This window comes from Homo sapiens, chromosome 5 (assembly GCF_000001405.40).
Source record: "Homo sapiens chromosome 5, GRCh38.p14 Primary Assembly".
Lineage (NCBI taxonomy): Eukaryota > Metazoa > Chordata > Mammalia > Primates > Hominidae > Homo > Homo sapiens.
In genome coordinates, this window is record NC_000005.10 from 53,775,219 (window position 1) to 53,792,323 (window position 17,105).

General features: G+C 41.9%; 1 long non-coding RNA gene across 2 annotated transcripts in view, besides 1 other annotated feature; it reads right to left on the reverse strand.

The window, feature by feature from the left end:
- Window positions 1–831: 831 nt before the first annotated feature.
- LINC02105 (long intergenic non-protein coding RNA 2105) overlaps window positions 832–17,105 on the reverse strand; it is a 43,633-nt gene continuing 27,359 nt past the window's right edge. Inside the window, exons 3-6 of one of the 2 annotated variants that reach the window (NR_147167.1) lie at window positions 9,862–9,926; window positions 8,749–8,909; window positions 3,050–3,159; window positions 832–2,068 (exon numbers count right to left, since the gene is read on the reverse strand). This is a non-coding gene — a long non-coding RNA (long intergenic non-protein coding RNA 2105). Of the gene's footprint in view, window positions 2,069–3,049; window positions 3,160–8,748; window positions 8,913–9,861; window positions 9,927–17,105 lie in introns of both variants that reach the window. The other variant, NR_147168.1, reaches the window with a different exon arrangement.
- Window positions 4,637–4,706: a silencer, noted in NCBI's record as "silent region_16007". NCBI's record gives its function as "represses an Ori minimal core promoter by ATAC-STARR-seq in GM12878 lymphoblastoid cells {active_cell/tissue: GM12878}" and the evidence as "EXISTENCE:reporter gene assay evidence [ECO:0000049][PMID:35858748]".

A 17,105-nucleotide genomic window follows, 5' to 3' on the forward strand; every position in this document is an offset into this window, starting at 1 on the left:
CTGAAGAGAAGGAAATACTCCCCAACTTATTATACAAGGCCAGCATTACCATGATATCAAAGCCAAACAAAGATACTAGAAGAAAATAAAATTACAGTCCGATTTCCCTGATTAACATAGGTGCAAAAGCCCTCAAAAATATTCTAGCAAACTGAATTCAACAGCACATTAAAAATATCATAAACCTACCAGGGGTGGTGGCTCACACCTATAATCCCAGCACTTTGTGAGGCTGAGGCGGGTGGATCACCTGAAATCAGGAGTCCAAGACCAGCCTGGCCAACATGGTGAAACCCCATCTCTACTAAAAATGCAAAAATTAGCTGGGCGTGGTGGCACGTGCTGTAGTCCCAGCTACTCAGGAAGCTGAGGCAAGAGAATTGCTTGAACCTGGGAGGTAGAGGCTGCAGACAAGGATCTCCACTCTTGCCACTTCTACTCCACATAGTACTGAAAAACCTAGCTTGAGCAATCAGGGAAAGGAAAGAAATAAAAAGCAACTACATCAGAAAGGAATAAATTAAACTGTTCTTGGCTTTTAGACAACATGATCTTATATATAGAAAGCCCTAAAGACTCCATCAAAAAACTGTTAAAACTAATAAATGAATCTGATAAAGTTATAGAGTACATTTGAGCTAAATACACTGTGGTATCCTGACTGAATCCTAGAAATAAAAATGGGCATTCATGAAAACACTGTTCACATTTGAGTAAAGTCTATTGTTAATAGCAAAATACCAATGTTAATTTCTCAGTTTTGAAAACGGTACCATGATTACGTAAGATGTTAACATTAGGAGAAACTGAGTGAAAGGCATACAGAGACTCTTTGTACCTTCCTTGCAACTTTAATGTAAATCTAAAATAAATTATTGCAAAATAAAAATTTTAAAAATTATATGGAAATTTTATATACAATTAATGATCTTTTATCTGTGACATAAAGAAAATGATACATTTTGAATATGTTCTTTTATGGGCCATGAGAACTCAACTCAGTTCACTTTCAAGGACTGGCCCAAATATTACATTTGAAAAGAGAGAAGTGGGGAACAATATCAGATGAAAGTTATGTTCTTATGAAAGAAAACTTGAAGATTGTATAAGAAATGTATTTCCAGTCCCAAATCAATTAATTGGCATTGCTAAGTGGCAAAGAATCATAGAAGAAGTAAAATAAAATGGGATAAAATGCTTAGTTGCTGGTGCTGTTTCTCCTTTTGCAAAGAAATCTCAGTATGCTCAAGGCAGTGAATGCCATGTGGGATCCTCATTCCCTTCTCTTCTATAGAAAGAAGAGTGTGGAAAAAAGCAGGAGTGGCTTCTGCTGGTTCTAGGGCCATAACACATATTAGTCCCAATAAGAACACCACTTCCTGTCACTGGACAGGCAATGCCACTAAATCATAAGAAAAACTACTGCAAAAGCAAAATTTCAGGTGAACACAAGTCAAAGTAACCAGGAAGTCAACATTTTCCACAAGCAAAAAGTTGTAGATAGACAACTAAAATCCTTCAGGGTATTTGGTTTAGAAAAAAATTCCACCAGCAAATATTTATATAACTGTTTTAAATGAAGTCAAAATATTTCTGGAGCTCTTTGCTGGATAAGAAATTGTTTGTATTTATCTGCTATTCCATATCATGTTTTTCACTTAAGAATATCAAGAGTTCCATTTGTATGTCTTCATCTATTCATAGAGCGGGGGGAAATGTGTTCAGAGAGACTTGAAGCTAAGTGGGCAAATCTTTACAAGCTGGTATATTCCTACTGTTTGAAAAAGATTACCCAAACAATGGACTCCACACAGCCCCACATCTACTCTTTAACTTGCTAGACTGCCCCTTTGGAAGTGCCTATGAACTTCATGTGACATTTTAGGGACACAAAATCAACCCTGACCCTCACAGACTGCCAAGAAAGTATGTGAAGAGCCTTATTTTTTTCCTTTAGTCATACTCCATCATGTGAGGCTGAGATTCCCCAGGAAGAAGCTCTGATATCATCATCAATGCCTGTCCCTTTTTATATCCTCTTCTTGAACAGTTGCTTCAGTTTCCTCATCTGTAAAATGAGAATAACAAATAGACCTAAATCAGGGCTATTGTGTGGATTAAATAAGAGCATTATCTCAATTTTCCTGGTGAGAAAGGCCCAGGCAAGAGTGCCTAGTGTATAAAGTGTTTAATAAATATTTGTCAAATGAGTAGATAAATTAATGAATTCTTCTATCTCTAGAAAATTCATAAGTCTCTGCCATGCTCTTCCTAATACCTGGGCCACTCTTCTAAATATTGGAGGGCTGTATAGGTAGCTGGAGTACTAATTCCAGCAACTGCGTAGCCAAGCACCTATTCTTAGCCTAAAACAAAACTTCAGAATGTTGCCTGGCCTGCAGATTGTGCCATAATTTCAGCCACTCTCTACTTCAAATAAAACCTTGGTTCCTTTGCCCCCAATACTACAAAGAACTTTTCCAAACTTTAACCCCAACTGGACTATATCTTCAGAGAAATGTCTAATTAATTTGCTTCCTAGGGAACCATCTGGTGCTATTAGATTGTTTAGGTCTCAAGGTGTGTGTGTACAGTCAGCTCCGATTGAAGGGGAATTGCATAGATTCTCCAGATGGTGGGTTGCATGACTTATTCTTTAATGTGCTAAACCCCAGTTATCAACATTAGCCCCCAAAGCACAGGGAAGAAGAGAACATGGTCTTTCATTGAGTTCTGCCTTTCTCCACTGGGATGGCCAAAGTGAGAGTTTGACACATTGCCTTCCTCGTCTAGAAAACTGGCATGCTTTTCTTTGTTTACCCTGGGCTTGGCCTGCTCAGCCGGTCTGGGCTTCCTGGGCAAACACAACTCAGGGTGAGTCCCTCATCCCTAACCTTCTGAATCTGGCAGAGTCACAAACCATGCCCGCCACCCTGCTCATGCCTCAATCTTCTCAGCCCCTCCTTGTGTTGAACCCTTAGTGCTGCCACTTGCTTGTTCTTGTTCCCTGACCAGATCATATGTCCCTGCCACCCAGTCCTCTCCTCACCCGTCTCCTCTTCACCTTCATTTGGTCCACCGTCTATAAGCAGGCCAGGTTGTAGCCTCCAGAGTTCAGAACTGAGGCCTGGGCATCAGAAGTCTGCTGTTGTAGGAAATCTGAGTTTGATTCAAATATGTGGGGTGAGAGTCAGAGGCAGCTCTGGTTTCATTTTGAAGTTTCATTTTGCCAGCAACAGAAACTATGTCTGACTTAAGCAGAAAATACACTTTTTTCAAAGGATATGAGGTAGCTCACAAACTCTTCAAGAACACTGGGCTCAGAGGACAGGTGGGAGCAGAGACCCAAGACCAGTGAGGCTCTCCAGTCCCCATGGAATACAGGGAGCTGAATGTTAGCAGTATTGCCACCACTACAACCAAATGGGTTCTCTCCTGTTTCTGCTTCTTTGCGCCACTGGCTCCCTGTTCAAAGGCTGGGGTGATGCATCTGAGGGATCCACCCTAGGGCACATGCCTACACTTGAGCTGCAGGGAGGGCTAGTGAAGGGGGTTTTCTGGCCTTTAGGCAGGAAATTTCTCAAACACAAAAGGTAGTTCATATACTAGGTAGCCAAAAATGACAAATGTCAGTTGCATTTGTCTCATTTGTCTCACCATTTTCCATTCTGTTCCTCATTCCTCTTTCCTGAAAACTAAAGCTATCACACACAATGCCCCATCCACCTCCCACTGCAGAATGTCCTGGAAATCTAGCCTCTGCGCTCCTATTTCCACCACAGCATGTGGTTCCCCAGCTCAGGATTTGTGGCATGACCTCCAATTTCTTCTCCAAAATTTTCCTTGTGCAAGTTTTGAAAGGAAAGGAACATCAGCACTCTCAGTTCATCCTGAAAGTTGGAGTAGGAAGGTATAAGCTGCCACTTCTTCTCTGCTTTACACATTCCTTATCCTGAAGTTTAACACATGCTTACAAACTGTGTACATCGTCAGATTAGCTTCTTTGCTTGTCTAATTCTGTGATCACTGCTTTTGGAATATACAGGGGCTGGGTCCAGGTTGCTGGGAAGCCACAAGCTTATTAGAGCTAGTAGAAACCTTTCTGAGTTTGCAAAACAACAAGGCTTTAAAGAAAACATGTGCCCTTAGAGGACACTATCACACAAAGATTCCTTTTAGGGGACATTATCCCACAAAGGCTCCCTGGATGTCAAAGTTCTTCCAGAGACTGAGAATTCAAAGGTCATCAACTGAGAGAGATATTCCTATCACCCTCCTTGATGATCACTAGCAAAGGGCTTTGTGTTCATTCCATTCCCTTGCCAACATTTGGTTCCCAAGCTTGTCCTCTTGTATCCGTCTACCCATGTCCTGGAATGCAGCCAGCCCACCGACACTGACAGGATGGATGCTAGCTGCAGCGAGACTGCTTGTCTGCTGTATACAGAGAGGATGACAGCAGGACATCAGAACAGCTGTTGGAAGGGAGAGGAAGTGGGCAGCTGCAAGCAGGGTGGTCAGAAGAAATGCCTCAAAGATGCCCTGAGAGCAACACATCACAAAGCACCACATCTTTAAACAGCCAACCAGGCAGAACAGCCTGTTGGGAAATGACCAGAAACAGGATTCCTTTCTAAACGGAAGTCTGGGTCAGGAAGTGAGTCAAAGAAGCAGAGCAGCCAAAGGAGGTTAGGACTATTGTATGCTGAGAGCAGTTCCAGTAACCAAATCAAAGGTTCTTTTCTGTGTGGGCCTCTGGAAGGTTCTCCAGGTACTCCACAGCACATAGTTTTAGATGTTTTCTGTTCTAAAGCAAAAGAAGTGGTTTCAAAATCCTTCCAATCCATCCAAACACTTCCTGGCATGTTTACACTCTATAAACCACAGATAGCATGCAAAGTCTTGATGGTAAGGTCATTATAAGCATTGGAACCGATATATCAGTACCTTAGCATGACCAAGAGCAAGTTCAAAAGGGGGAAAATCATATCAAGAAGCTCTGGCAAAAGAAAGATAACAGCAATGGAGCCCAAATCCTGGCTTTAGATGCTAGCATGCTCAAGTCTAAGGCAAAACACAGTGAATTATATCATTCTTGATGTCTACTCAGAGGAGGCTAGACAAACTTTTTCTTGCTCCTGAGCTATGCTTAGGTATGAGGCAGTAAGCAACTTCACTGAAGCAGTTCTGAATGCACACACACAAACACATATAAAGAAAGAGAGAGAGTGGCGCCTTTCTTATATCGTCTCCCTTCCACCGCCACAACCCCCACAGCTTATCTCAAGCTTTTCTGGTTTTGAGATGGAGTTTCGCTCTTTTTGCCCAGGCTGGAGTGCAATGGTGCAGTCTCGGCTCACTGCAACCTCTGCCTCCTGGGTTCAAGTGATTCTCCTGCCTCAGCCTTCCAACTAGCTGAGATTACAGGCAAGCGCCACCACGCCCAGCTAATTTTTGTATTTTTAGTAGAGATGGCATTTTGCCATGTTGGCCAGGCTGGTCTCGAACTCCTGACCTCAGGTTATCCACCTGCCTTGGCATTCCAAAGTGCTGGGATTACAGGCGTGAGCCACCGTGCCCGGTCTCTCAAGCTCTTTTAAAGACTGACTCTGTAAAGCTGAGTCTCTAGGGGTCCAGAGAAATATAATACAAAAATGAAGTTTCTGGTGATCTAGGTGCTTAACATAGGGATAGCATTTACAGCCTCCTAAAGTCACCTGTGTTTCATATTGGGCCTATTCACCCTCAAAACCCCTTTTATCAACTTCTTCAGATCCAACTGAGTCAATTAGTTTGAAACACTTCTTGCTAACTAAATGCACTTTTAAATATTTTTAAATGTTCATGTCTTATTATGAACAAATGTTTTACTGCCAACACTTTTTGAAATGTTGAAAGCCTCTCCATTGCATTAAATTCCCCTCAAGAATATCCCTTGACTTATCCTGACTTTTGACAGAAACCATTTTGCCAGAAAATATATACTTAAGGCATCTAACAAATACCATGACCCCCTCAGATTGTTGACTGAAAATCCATTGTTGTGGAGGCCCAGTGTGTGGACCATAAAGGCTGTTTCATGTGAGCAATAAAGAATCTAACTTGTATCAGCACCCTCAGGGAGGACCCCAGGCCCCTGCCTCCAGGTTGGCTATGTCCTTTTTTTCTGCAAGCCTTGCCCCACCTGTTTCTGTTCCATCAAGTTATCAGTTGAAACTCCGAACTTGCATATGATAAGCCCTGGAAGTCAAGGCCTGGCCTAGAAGATGCTGATGGCAGGGATGGTTTCCAAATGCCCCCAACACATTTTATTTTAAATGAGCTGCTTTTCTGATGAAGCTATCGGGAAAGTTAAGGGCAAAAATAGCTCAATTCCTAGTAGAGATTTATTGAAAATTATCCAACTAGATGTTACTGCATATTTCAATGTGATTAGAACTAGATGTTGTTCCTGACAATGATTGTCCTGTGACTATGATTAGGAGAAGGTAAGAAGGGAGCTGAGGGGTGACCCATGCTCAGAATAACATATAAAGTAAAAAGAACCAAGAAAGAGAAGGAGCCAGATGATTCTGGATCTGGCCAAAATAGGTCCCTACCCACACAAGATAGACTATAAAGATGGTAGGAGATGTGGTCATGAAAGGTCAAAATATAGAACAAGGTGGAAGGGAGATAAGAGAGACAAATTCTGGAAAAGTGCAGGTTCTTCACAATCGTAGAAAGAGTTTTAAACAAGTGATGCTGGGCTGCTGGCTTTTCCACTCCCACCGCTTTATTTCTAAATCTACACTGCTTACAACTTTTTTCCTTTCATAATACAAATAAAGTTAAACCATAGATTTCTTTGGAAGTCACTGAGAAAGTTATAACACTGATATTAAATTCACATATGCCCTTATAACACAAATCCTATATTGAGTGATCAAGAAATAATATCTTATTATCCACCTGGAAGGGCCCAAGAATTTGGTTAGCAAGCGCTTTGAGCAACTGTCAGTGTGAGGGCCTGTGATGAAGATGGAGATGATAGAAGAAAGCTGCCCCGTTTCTCTTTCCTCTCTACGGTGAGGAGGCAATTCTAGCAACTTGCTGTGTAAGGGTCTGTGTGGGGAGGTCCACACATGGCAGAGTCAGGCCCTTCACCTTTCTTCCCCAGTCACCAGCAGCCAAGGAGTGATTGCTTTCTCCTTTTAACAGGAAGTAGTACTGGCCCAATTCTGAATTTCTGCAAGAGTGCAAAGATGTGTTCACACGTTTAAAAGCAAAAAGTAGTAGAGGCTGCTCCTATGGAGATATCCTGCTGGCCATCTGTGTCCAGAAGCTGGCTACCTTCTCAGATGCTCATTCAATTCCTTCACCAGTTACCTATCTGGGATCTCCTGTGTCCTAAATTTAGCAGATGCTATGGGGTAGATGTTAAGCAGGATGATCTGCTGGCCCAGCAACCCAGACTGGACTGCAGCTATACAGGGTGATTATTAGGTTGGCGCAAAAGTAATTGCGGTTTTTGCCATTGTAATGGTAATACGATCTTGAGTGCTGGCCCTTCCTAGAGAGACTCTTATCACACAAAGCCTCTGTTAAATTCCTAGACAAAACACCTGGCCTCAGGGTTTTAAGTTCCCTTTGTAGGAGTCCTTATCTTTTTCTTAACTGTAATATTAGAGGGCGGATGATGCTGATACTAGAATTTACATTCCATACAAATACCTAAGTGCTTTGTATACTGAATGCACTAGTCAGGACATGCCCATAATAAATTGGAAAATTACTGAGCATCAACTCTATGCACAGTCTTGTGCTGGGCACCCTTTTATTAGTGGGTGTTTATCAAAGTATTCAATAATGGTCAGTTAGGATAAATGCGGTTGCATAATACTGACAAAGGTAGTATTCAATATATATGTTATTATGCCTAGATATAATTATGCCTATTATTTGTTTCCTTCTGGGTTAATATTCCTTTGAGAAAAGATATTAATATACACAACAACGGCACATCTGTTCCCTACAGGTGAGGTGAGACTGACAACACCACAAGTCTACCTTTGCATAGTTTTGTGCTTATTAACATTTTAATCTATAAGTGATGCTATAACTCTGGGTGATGGCCTGGTTCCCCGGGACTGCTGTGAAGGGTGACTTCTTTGATGTAACAAAAGATATTTAAATGAGTCTAGGGACTGTACGGAAAGTTGCCCTAAAAACAAGTCACCCAGAGGTCTATTTTATAATCCCTGCACATTGGAAAAAGGCTGAGGCCTTGCTGCCAGCAGCCATCTGGGGTGGGGTAGGAGCTGTGGGAAGCACACACCTACTAACAGGAACAAGATAACCCATCCAGACAGTGATCTATGCTGCTCAAGAATGGGTGATTTTTAACTAACAGTGCGTGTGTGTGTGTGTGTGTGTGTGTGTGTGTGTGAAAACTATATGAGCTGTGAAAGATTTTAGTGGAGGCCAGAGTTTTGATTTTGAGCGGGATCAGTCTATACCTGCTGGTGTAAATCAACCCAGCTGTAGGAACTGGGCCCACGGCTTTCTGAGACACCTATTGTTGAGGGTAGACTCGGGCTGACAGCGATATAAACACCACAGAAAAGGCTCTCAGGGGTAACTAGAAAGCAGGAAAAGACCCTGGCTCCCTCCAGCCAGCAGTTCTCTGAGTTCTGTCTTCAAAGGCAAAGCTGGGTTTCTGGAAGCCACAGGCCTCTCCCACTCCTGACTGCACCGAGAAATGCTCACCTGCGTCCTCAGTCTTGTCCATCTTGTGGCATCTGCACACACAGCCCCCAGCCAGGCACTCAGCCGGAGCCTTGGAAATCCTGATTCAGCAGGCGCTCTGCTTAAGAGTGGCAGGCGGGCCCCTTTGCTCCTTACTGGTGAGCTCTTGCCCAGGTCATCACCTGCTTCCAAAGGGATTTAAAATGAGGCATGGGGAAAGGACCGTTACAAATTCGCACTTCATTCTCTTTATTTACACCTTCTTTCTTCTTTTCTCTCATCTTTCCCTGTGTTCTCTCCCTCTAGCTTTCCCTCTCTCTTTCCACACACTGTGTCAGGTAGGTGAAGCTTCCAGACTACTAGGGGAACACCTGTTTCCTTAGCTGTCCCACGGTCACCCCTAAAGCCATCTCTTCTCAAGGGCAGCTGATCTCTGGGGTCTGTGTGGCACAGCCTCCAGGGAGTGGACCAGCCATGAACTTGTAAGGAAGAAAGACCCCGCCTTCTGCTCCCAGCTTCCTCCAGTATTGAAAAGCAGTGGAGCCAGTGAAGATCTGTTCCTGGCCGTGAAAAGAATCCCCTATATCCTAAGAGATCAGCTCAGCAATGAAGGGGTTACTCTCCTTGGTGTGGGGGTGGGGGGTGTAGAAAGTTGCGGGACACTCTTCTCAGCTTGTCTGATGGAGATGCGACCTGGCACCACTGAAAAGCTTTAAGATTAATGGAGAAAAGGCGAAATCTGACAGCTTTTCCACTGGTTTCAATCCTCCTGGGTGGGCCGATTGGTCTTGAATGTCACTAGCTACTTAATCTTGTGTATCTGAAACAGACTGGCGTGTTTGGGGAGCCCTGTTTGCTCTGTATAGACATCAATTGGAGAGGCAGATAAAAGGAAACTGCATTGAATTTCTCCTTTAAGCCTTTCACCAGGCACTTTCTGACTGCAAAATAATTAGTGACCCTGGCAGACACAACCATCCTGTGGTAGATGCTCCAGCTACACCCCTGGTGCGACTCTGACTTCCCTGGACAAGCTGCTCCTGCTCTGTTCAGTGCAGACTCATGGTGCCTATATATTCTTCCTGCTCACCAACTTTTTTTTTTTTTTTTTTTTAACTGCATGGTCTTGCTTACCATTCTGAACCATGGATGCCTGCTTGATCTGATGGCTGAGCAAAGGGATCTCCAGAGACACAGATCTACAAGCACAAATGTGGACAGGGAAATAGAAAGACAAAATAAATAAATAAATAAATCCCTAAATGTACCCATTTACCTGCATATATGTCTCAAACAAATAGGGTTGAGCTATTTTTTAATAACCAAAACATCTACCCAGGAATGGAAATTTAAAAATCAAATGATGCTTTCTATATCCTGTTTTTTCAAACTGAATACATAAAAGAAGCCATTCAGGTTAAGTGTCAAGCATTAAAAGAGAAAGAATAAATACAACAGTGTTTGCAGAGGAGGTTACAATAGATTGGCTCCTTATATTTAAAAGATAGGAATGTTTGGTGATTACTGTGTGAAATAACTCTGTCTAGTCTGGTTTGCTCTGGTGTGAGAAGTCTCTGATGTGTTTTACACACACATAGTGGTTTATGAAGAACCTGTCATAAACCTAAACGATAGCACCAATTAGAAATGAGCTTCCATTGATATATTTCAGATCATTTGCCCTTACCCTTTTCTGACTTTCTGATTCTTTAAACTCATGAACATGGTTGAGTGTATCATCGGGTGATGAATAGCTAGAGATGACTGAGGCCAACAGACTATATATTAATCGTCCTTAGCCTAGCATCTGGGAATCCATAAAACTCTCTGTACTTTCAAACACAAGAGAAAGCCACATTCTCTGATGTCTGAAACTTGCCACTTACAAGCACACACAGGTCTATGCAGGGCATCTTCCTGCAATGTGCTTTTGGCTATTACGAAAACTTTCTTTAAGGCAGAACACTTTCCAGTAAACATATACAAAATTCATCATAAACCAGACTAATTCTTCTGTCTACCAAAGGGAGATGGAAGACATAAACTAAGTCCAACACCACAGCAAGGTATCACAGGTCTCTATTATAACTTTGAAATAGCACCAGATATCTGGCTGTTTTTAAATTGCCAGTTTCTCCTCTGTGGTCAAGGACGTCTGCCAAAAAGAAGATACAGGAAGTTACTGATGGGCCGTAAAATGGAAAATGAAGTGAAAAATTAGTCTTCACTATACCAAAGCAACCTCATTTCAATTATCATTGCAAATATAGGTTATACTTTATTTTGTGACTTACTTTCTCTCTTAAAGATACAGCATCACATTGTTGAGACCGCCACTGCAAAATTATAATTGAGGCAGTGAAAGAGATCTGAACTAACCAACTCTACCTTGCTTCTAAACTCCAAGCTGTCATTGTTCATTCCTGGCTATAGGCCAAACTAACTCTGGGAGAAACTTAGTTTAGGTTTAGCTTTGAAACAAAGATGTTAACAGCCCTTTCCCAAAACAAACCCCCTTTCTGCCTGAGGACTAGACTGCCTTTGCAGGACTAACAAATTAGCTAAAAGATTAGAAATTATGATTTAGGAGTCACGCAGCTGGAGGCTACAAAATTCTGAATCTCCCCAAATTGCTCCTGGGGATAATATCACTATTGTAAAACTTAAGATCAGTGCTTGAGATATTTTGCAGACCCTGCACTTGATGGATCAACTGGCACCACACAGACTGATAAACTGGCTCATCTGGTCTTGTGACCCTGACCCAGGAACTGACTCAGTGCAAGAGGACAGCTTCAACTCCTTATGAGTTCATCTCAGACCTGACCAATCAGAATTCCCGATTCACTGACCCACCTACTCACCAAATTATCCTGAAAAACTCTGATCCCCAAGTTCTCAGTAAGACTGACTTGAGTAATAATAAAACTCCAGTCTCCCGCACAGCTTGCTCTGTGAATTACTCTTTCTCTTTTGCAATTCCCCTGTCTTCATAAATCAGCTCTCTCTAGGCAGCAGGCAAGGTGAACATGTTGGGCGGTTACATTATGTCAAAGCCTAAGACTAGAGTTGACTGAAGTGATGTTGAGGAGATTGAAGCCAGTCTGCATGGCAGGAGAGAGGAGATGCTTCTCCATTTCTACCAAATGTGACTGGCTGTGCTCTCAGGGGACTACGAAGTAGTTGGCCAGAGAGCATACTGAGTACAGATTTCATGAACAGGTAGGTACTGGGTATATGTTTCATGAACATCAAGAAGTACAAGAGAAGGAAGGAAACTCATACAAATACAAGGAACTAAAATGGGAGAGACTACTAGACAGAAAGGGTCATTTTTCCTGGGAATTGGCTGTGGACATTTTTCAACCTTGTTTGAGATATCTGAAACAATGCCTCTCCTCTTCCAGGTTAAAAAAAGAAAAGAAAATATGTGTAGCTATAAACAAAAAACAGGTGAGTGCACAGAGAAGGAAACTCAAGTTCCACATCTAAAGTTATTGCTATAGTCTTTGAAACCCAAGTTGTCTGTAAGTCAGTTTTGAATGAAAGGTGGAAGTCACCACAAGGTCACCACATTCATGGAGAGCCAAAAGATCCAAACATTAAAAAAAAAACACTGAAGTCATTCTGTGGCTATAATCACTGGCAGATTTCAGGAAGTTTCTCCACAGCCATGTTCTTGCCACTGTCATTTTATCTTTAATGGGCTCTACAGGTGGCAGATACAAATGTAAATTAAACTATGGAGTCCCCCAGAACCTTCTCAAGAGAATGAACCCAGGACTCTTTAGACAGGTTGATGAATTTGAGACATAAAGATGATAAGAGAACTGGGAAGAGATGAATTCAAAACGTGTTCTTGGTGGCATGCAATGCTCCTAGTTCCCCACTGTAATCTAGTGGGCAGATGAAAAGGCTCCTTACTAATTAGCCTACTTGGGTGCTTAAAGGTTAGGGTTCTGTGTTACCTAGAGACCCCCATTCAAAGATAAACAACAGAGAAGAGTATGATACACATTTACTGATCCAACAGATAATTTTTAGCATCTATTGAGTGTCAGATACTGTGTTGGGGATACAGCAATGATCACAACAAACATACCTCTTGCCCTCATGGATCTTAAGGTCTATTGGGAGAGTCAGTTGTTGGACTAGGAAGTCTCCATCTGAAGAACATCAAAAAGCGGGGTAGTATGGGATGCTGTGGGAGTTTAGGCTGGGGGGCTCAGAGAAGGGCTCCCTGGGACAACTGAGTGACAATGCAGGTGATGTTCCAGAAGGAACCAGAGGTCTGGAGGTAGAGAAGAGTATAGGATACACAAGAAACTGAAAGAAGATGAAAATAGCTAGAACAGAAAGAGTGAGTGAAGAGTGTTGTGACACAAAGAGGCTAGAAGGGTAGAAGAGGCCATGTTACAAAGGATCTTGAGGGTACTGTTGAAAAGTCTGGTCTCTAAGAGAATGAGAAGCATTGAAGAATCCACTTTAAAAGGAAAGTGATATGAACGATTCATATTTCAGAAAGACCCACTGTGACTGCCATATAAAGAATTGTGTTGGATTGCCCTAAGCCAAAAGAACAAAGCTGGAGTCATCACGCTACCTGACTTCGAACTATACTACAAGGCTACAGTAACCAAAACAGCATGGTACTGGTACCAAAACAGAGATATAGACCAATGGAAAAGAATAGAGCCCCTGGAAATAATACCACACATCTACAACCAGCTGATCTTTGACAAACCTGACAAAAACAAGAAATGGGGAAAGGATTCCCTCTTTAACAAATGGTGCTGGGAAAACTGGCTAGCCATATGTAGAAAGCTGAAACTGGATCCCTTCCTTATATCTTTATACAAAAATTAATTCAAGATAGATTAAAGACTTAAATGTTAGACCTAAAACCATAAAAACCCTAAAAGAAAACCTAGGCAATACCATTCAGGACATAGGCATGGGCAAGGACTTCATGACTAAAACACCAAAAGCAATGGCAACAAAAGCCAAAATTGACAAATGGGATCTAATTAAACTAAAGAGCTTCTGCACAGCAAAAGAAACTACCATCAGAGTGAACAGGCAACCTATATAATAGGAGAAAATTTTTGCAATCTACCCATCTGACAAAGGGCTAATATCCAGAATCTACAAAGACCTTAAACAAATTTACAAGAAAAAATCAAACAACCCCATCAAAAAGTGGGCAAAGGATATGAACAGACACTTCTCAAAAGAAGACATTTATGCAGCCAACAGACACATGAAAAAATGCTCATCATCACTGGCCATCAGAGAAATGCAAATCAAAACCACAATGAGATACCATCTCACACCAGTTAGAATGGCCATCATTAAAAAGTCAGGAAACAACAGGTGCTGGAGAGGATGTGGAGAAATAGGAACACTTTTACACTGTTGGTGGGACTGTAAACTAGTTCAACCACTGTGGAAGACAGTGTGGCAATTCCTCAAGGATCTAGAACTAGAAATGCCATTTGACCCAGCCATCCCATTATGGGGCATATACCCAAAGGATTATAAATCACGCTGCTATAAAGACACATGCACACGTATGTTTATTGCGGCACTATTCACAATAGCAAAGACTTGGAACCAACCCAAATGTCCATCAATGATAGACTGGATTAAGAAAAAGTGGCACATATACACCATGGAATACTATGCAGCCATAAAAAAGGATGAGTTCATGTCCTTTGTAGGGACATGGATGAAGCTGGAAACCATCATTCTGAGCCAACTATCACAAGGACAGAAAACCAAACACTGCATGTTCTCACTCATAGGTGGGAATTAACAATGAGAACACTTGGACACAGGGAGGGGAACATCACACACCAGGGCCTGTCGTGGGGTGGGGGGAAGGAGGAGGGATAGCATTAGGAGATATAGCTAATGCAAATGACAAGTTAACAGGTGCAGCACAGCAACATTGCACATGTATACATATGTAACAAACCTGCACGTTGTGAACATGTATCCCAGAACTTAAAGTATAAAAAAAAAAAAAAAAAAAAAAGAATGTGTTGGATTGAGTCACAGAGGATTCTGTGAAACAGGTAAGAAGTCTGCAGACATCTGAATGGAGACAATGGTAGATTGGACCAAGGTGGTGGCAGCAAGATTGAAAAGAAGCTGAAATATCCTAATATCTGTAGACAAAGTAACAGTGAAGACGCCTCAGGTCACAGAGACAAGGCAGAGGCATGCAAGACAGCCATGTGAGGATCTCATCCCACCCTGAGAAGGTGGGTCTTGGCACATACATCCCTGACAGGTCTGACCGGAATGAGCAGTGGGAAGTGAGTAGGGTAGTTAGGAAGAAGGTAACTGACCAACTTGATGATTTTTAGTAGTTATGCTAATAGTTATGTTAGGAGGAATTTAGTTGTAATAGAAAAGAATTCTGCAAATGCTTCCTTTAAGAGAAGAGTCTGGGCTGGGTGTGCTGGCTCAAGCCTGTAATCCCAGCACTTTGGGAGGCCGAGGCAGGCGGGTCAGGAGTTTGAGATCAGCCTGGCCAATGTGGTGAAACACCGTCTCTACTAAAAATACAAAAATTAGTCGGGCATGGTGGCACGCACCTGTAATCCTAGCTACTCCAGAGGCTGAGGCAGGAGAATTGCTCGAACCTGGGAGGCAGAGGTTGCAGTGAACCAAGATTGCGCCACTGCACTCCAGCCTGGGCAACAAAGCAAGATTCCATCTCCAAAAAAAAAAAGAAAAAAAGAAAGAGGAGTCTGTATATATTTCAAATGTGAATTATGAATTTTAGTTTACATGCACATTCAGAAACCTATTACATAGCCCCCTAAAACAGTCGTACATATGTATAAAAGTCAAAGCCCTATATATGACTATATTGTATATGCATATAACATATATTCCACATATATATTTCATTTTATCTCTTAATACTAGTAGCTAGTAGGCTTCTTTCTACTATACTTCTCTACTTCTGGATCTACCAACTGAACTGTCAATTTACCCAGACTTCACTTTTTAGAGTCTGTATCCTGGCCTTGTTCCTGTAATAATGTAATTCATTTGTAATTATACAAGTGAAACATGAGAGCAAAACGGTAGTTGTTTCTATGAAAGTTAGTTTAGGGCCAGGCATGGTGACTCACACCTGTAATCCCAGCACTTTGGGATGCTGAGGCAGGTGGTTCACCCAAGGTCAGGACTTTGAGACCAGCCTGGCCAACACAGTGAAACCCCATTTCCACTAAAAATACAAAAATTAGTCAAGCGTGGTGGTGTGCGCCTGTAGTCCCAGCTACTCTGGAGACTGAGGTGGGAGAACTGCTTGAACCCAGGAGGTGGAGGTTACAGTTAGCCGAGATAGCAACACTGCACTCCAGCCTGGGTGACAGAGTGAGCCTCCATTTCCAAAAAAACAAACAAACAAAAGGAAAACTTAGAAGGATTCAACAGAGGTGAGTCTCTAAAGAAAAAGTTGCTATCAGATTAGGTATAAACAAGACAACTATAACGTATTAGAGAGAGTCTGGCTATGGTGGTTCATGCCTGTAATCCCAGCATTTTGGGAGGCTGAGGAATGAGGATCACTTGAGCCTAAGAGTTTGAGACCAGTCTGGGCAACATAGGAAGACCTCGTCTCTACAAAAATTACAAATATTAGCTGGGTGTGGTGGTGCATGCCTGTAGTCCCAGCTACTTGGGAGGCTGAGGTGGGGGGGATCACATGAGCCCAGGAGGCTGAGGCGGTAGTAAGACATGATTGTACCACTGCACTCCAGCCTAGGTGACAGAGCAAGACCCTGTCTCAAAAAAAAAAAAAAAAAAAAAAAGATTAGAGGGGAAAAAACCTAGAAATAGATTCCGTATTCAGATTCTAGAGCAAATGCCTTTAAGTTCTGGTCCACTTCAACAACAACAACAACAAAAATTGAAAAAATTGTAGGTGATGCAATATGGGTGTAGCTGATAATGCAAGTAAAATGGTTAGAAACCTGATCAGAAAAGCTGTATGAAATAAAGATCTTCATTTCAGGTTGTAACCCATGAAAGTACTACTTGGAGTGTAAGAAATAGTAGAATATTCACACTTTCATATGCTTATATGAACCTAATATGTTTTAAGTAAAAATAAAATGTTAAGGGTAATGCACATATTTTTCTTATGTAATTCTCCTCTTAAACCAATTTTTTCAATTATCTGATAGCCACCGTACTAACTATTGGATAAGAAGTATTCTTTGATGGTACCAAGGGCCCAGATATAAAGAAGCCACACATTCCAAGTACAGGCTGCTGGGTTACAAGGACAGTGTGGGAAACCACAGATCATCAGAACTCCAACTCATCCAGAAAAGAGATTATTTTCTCAGCCACAC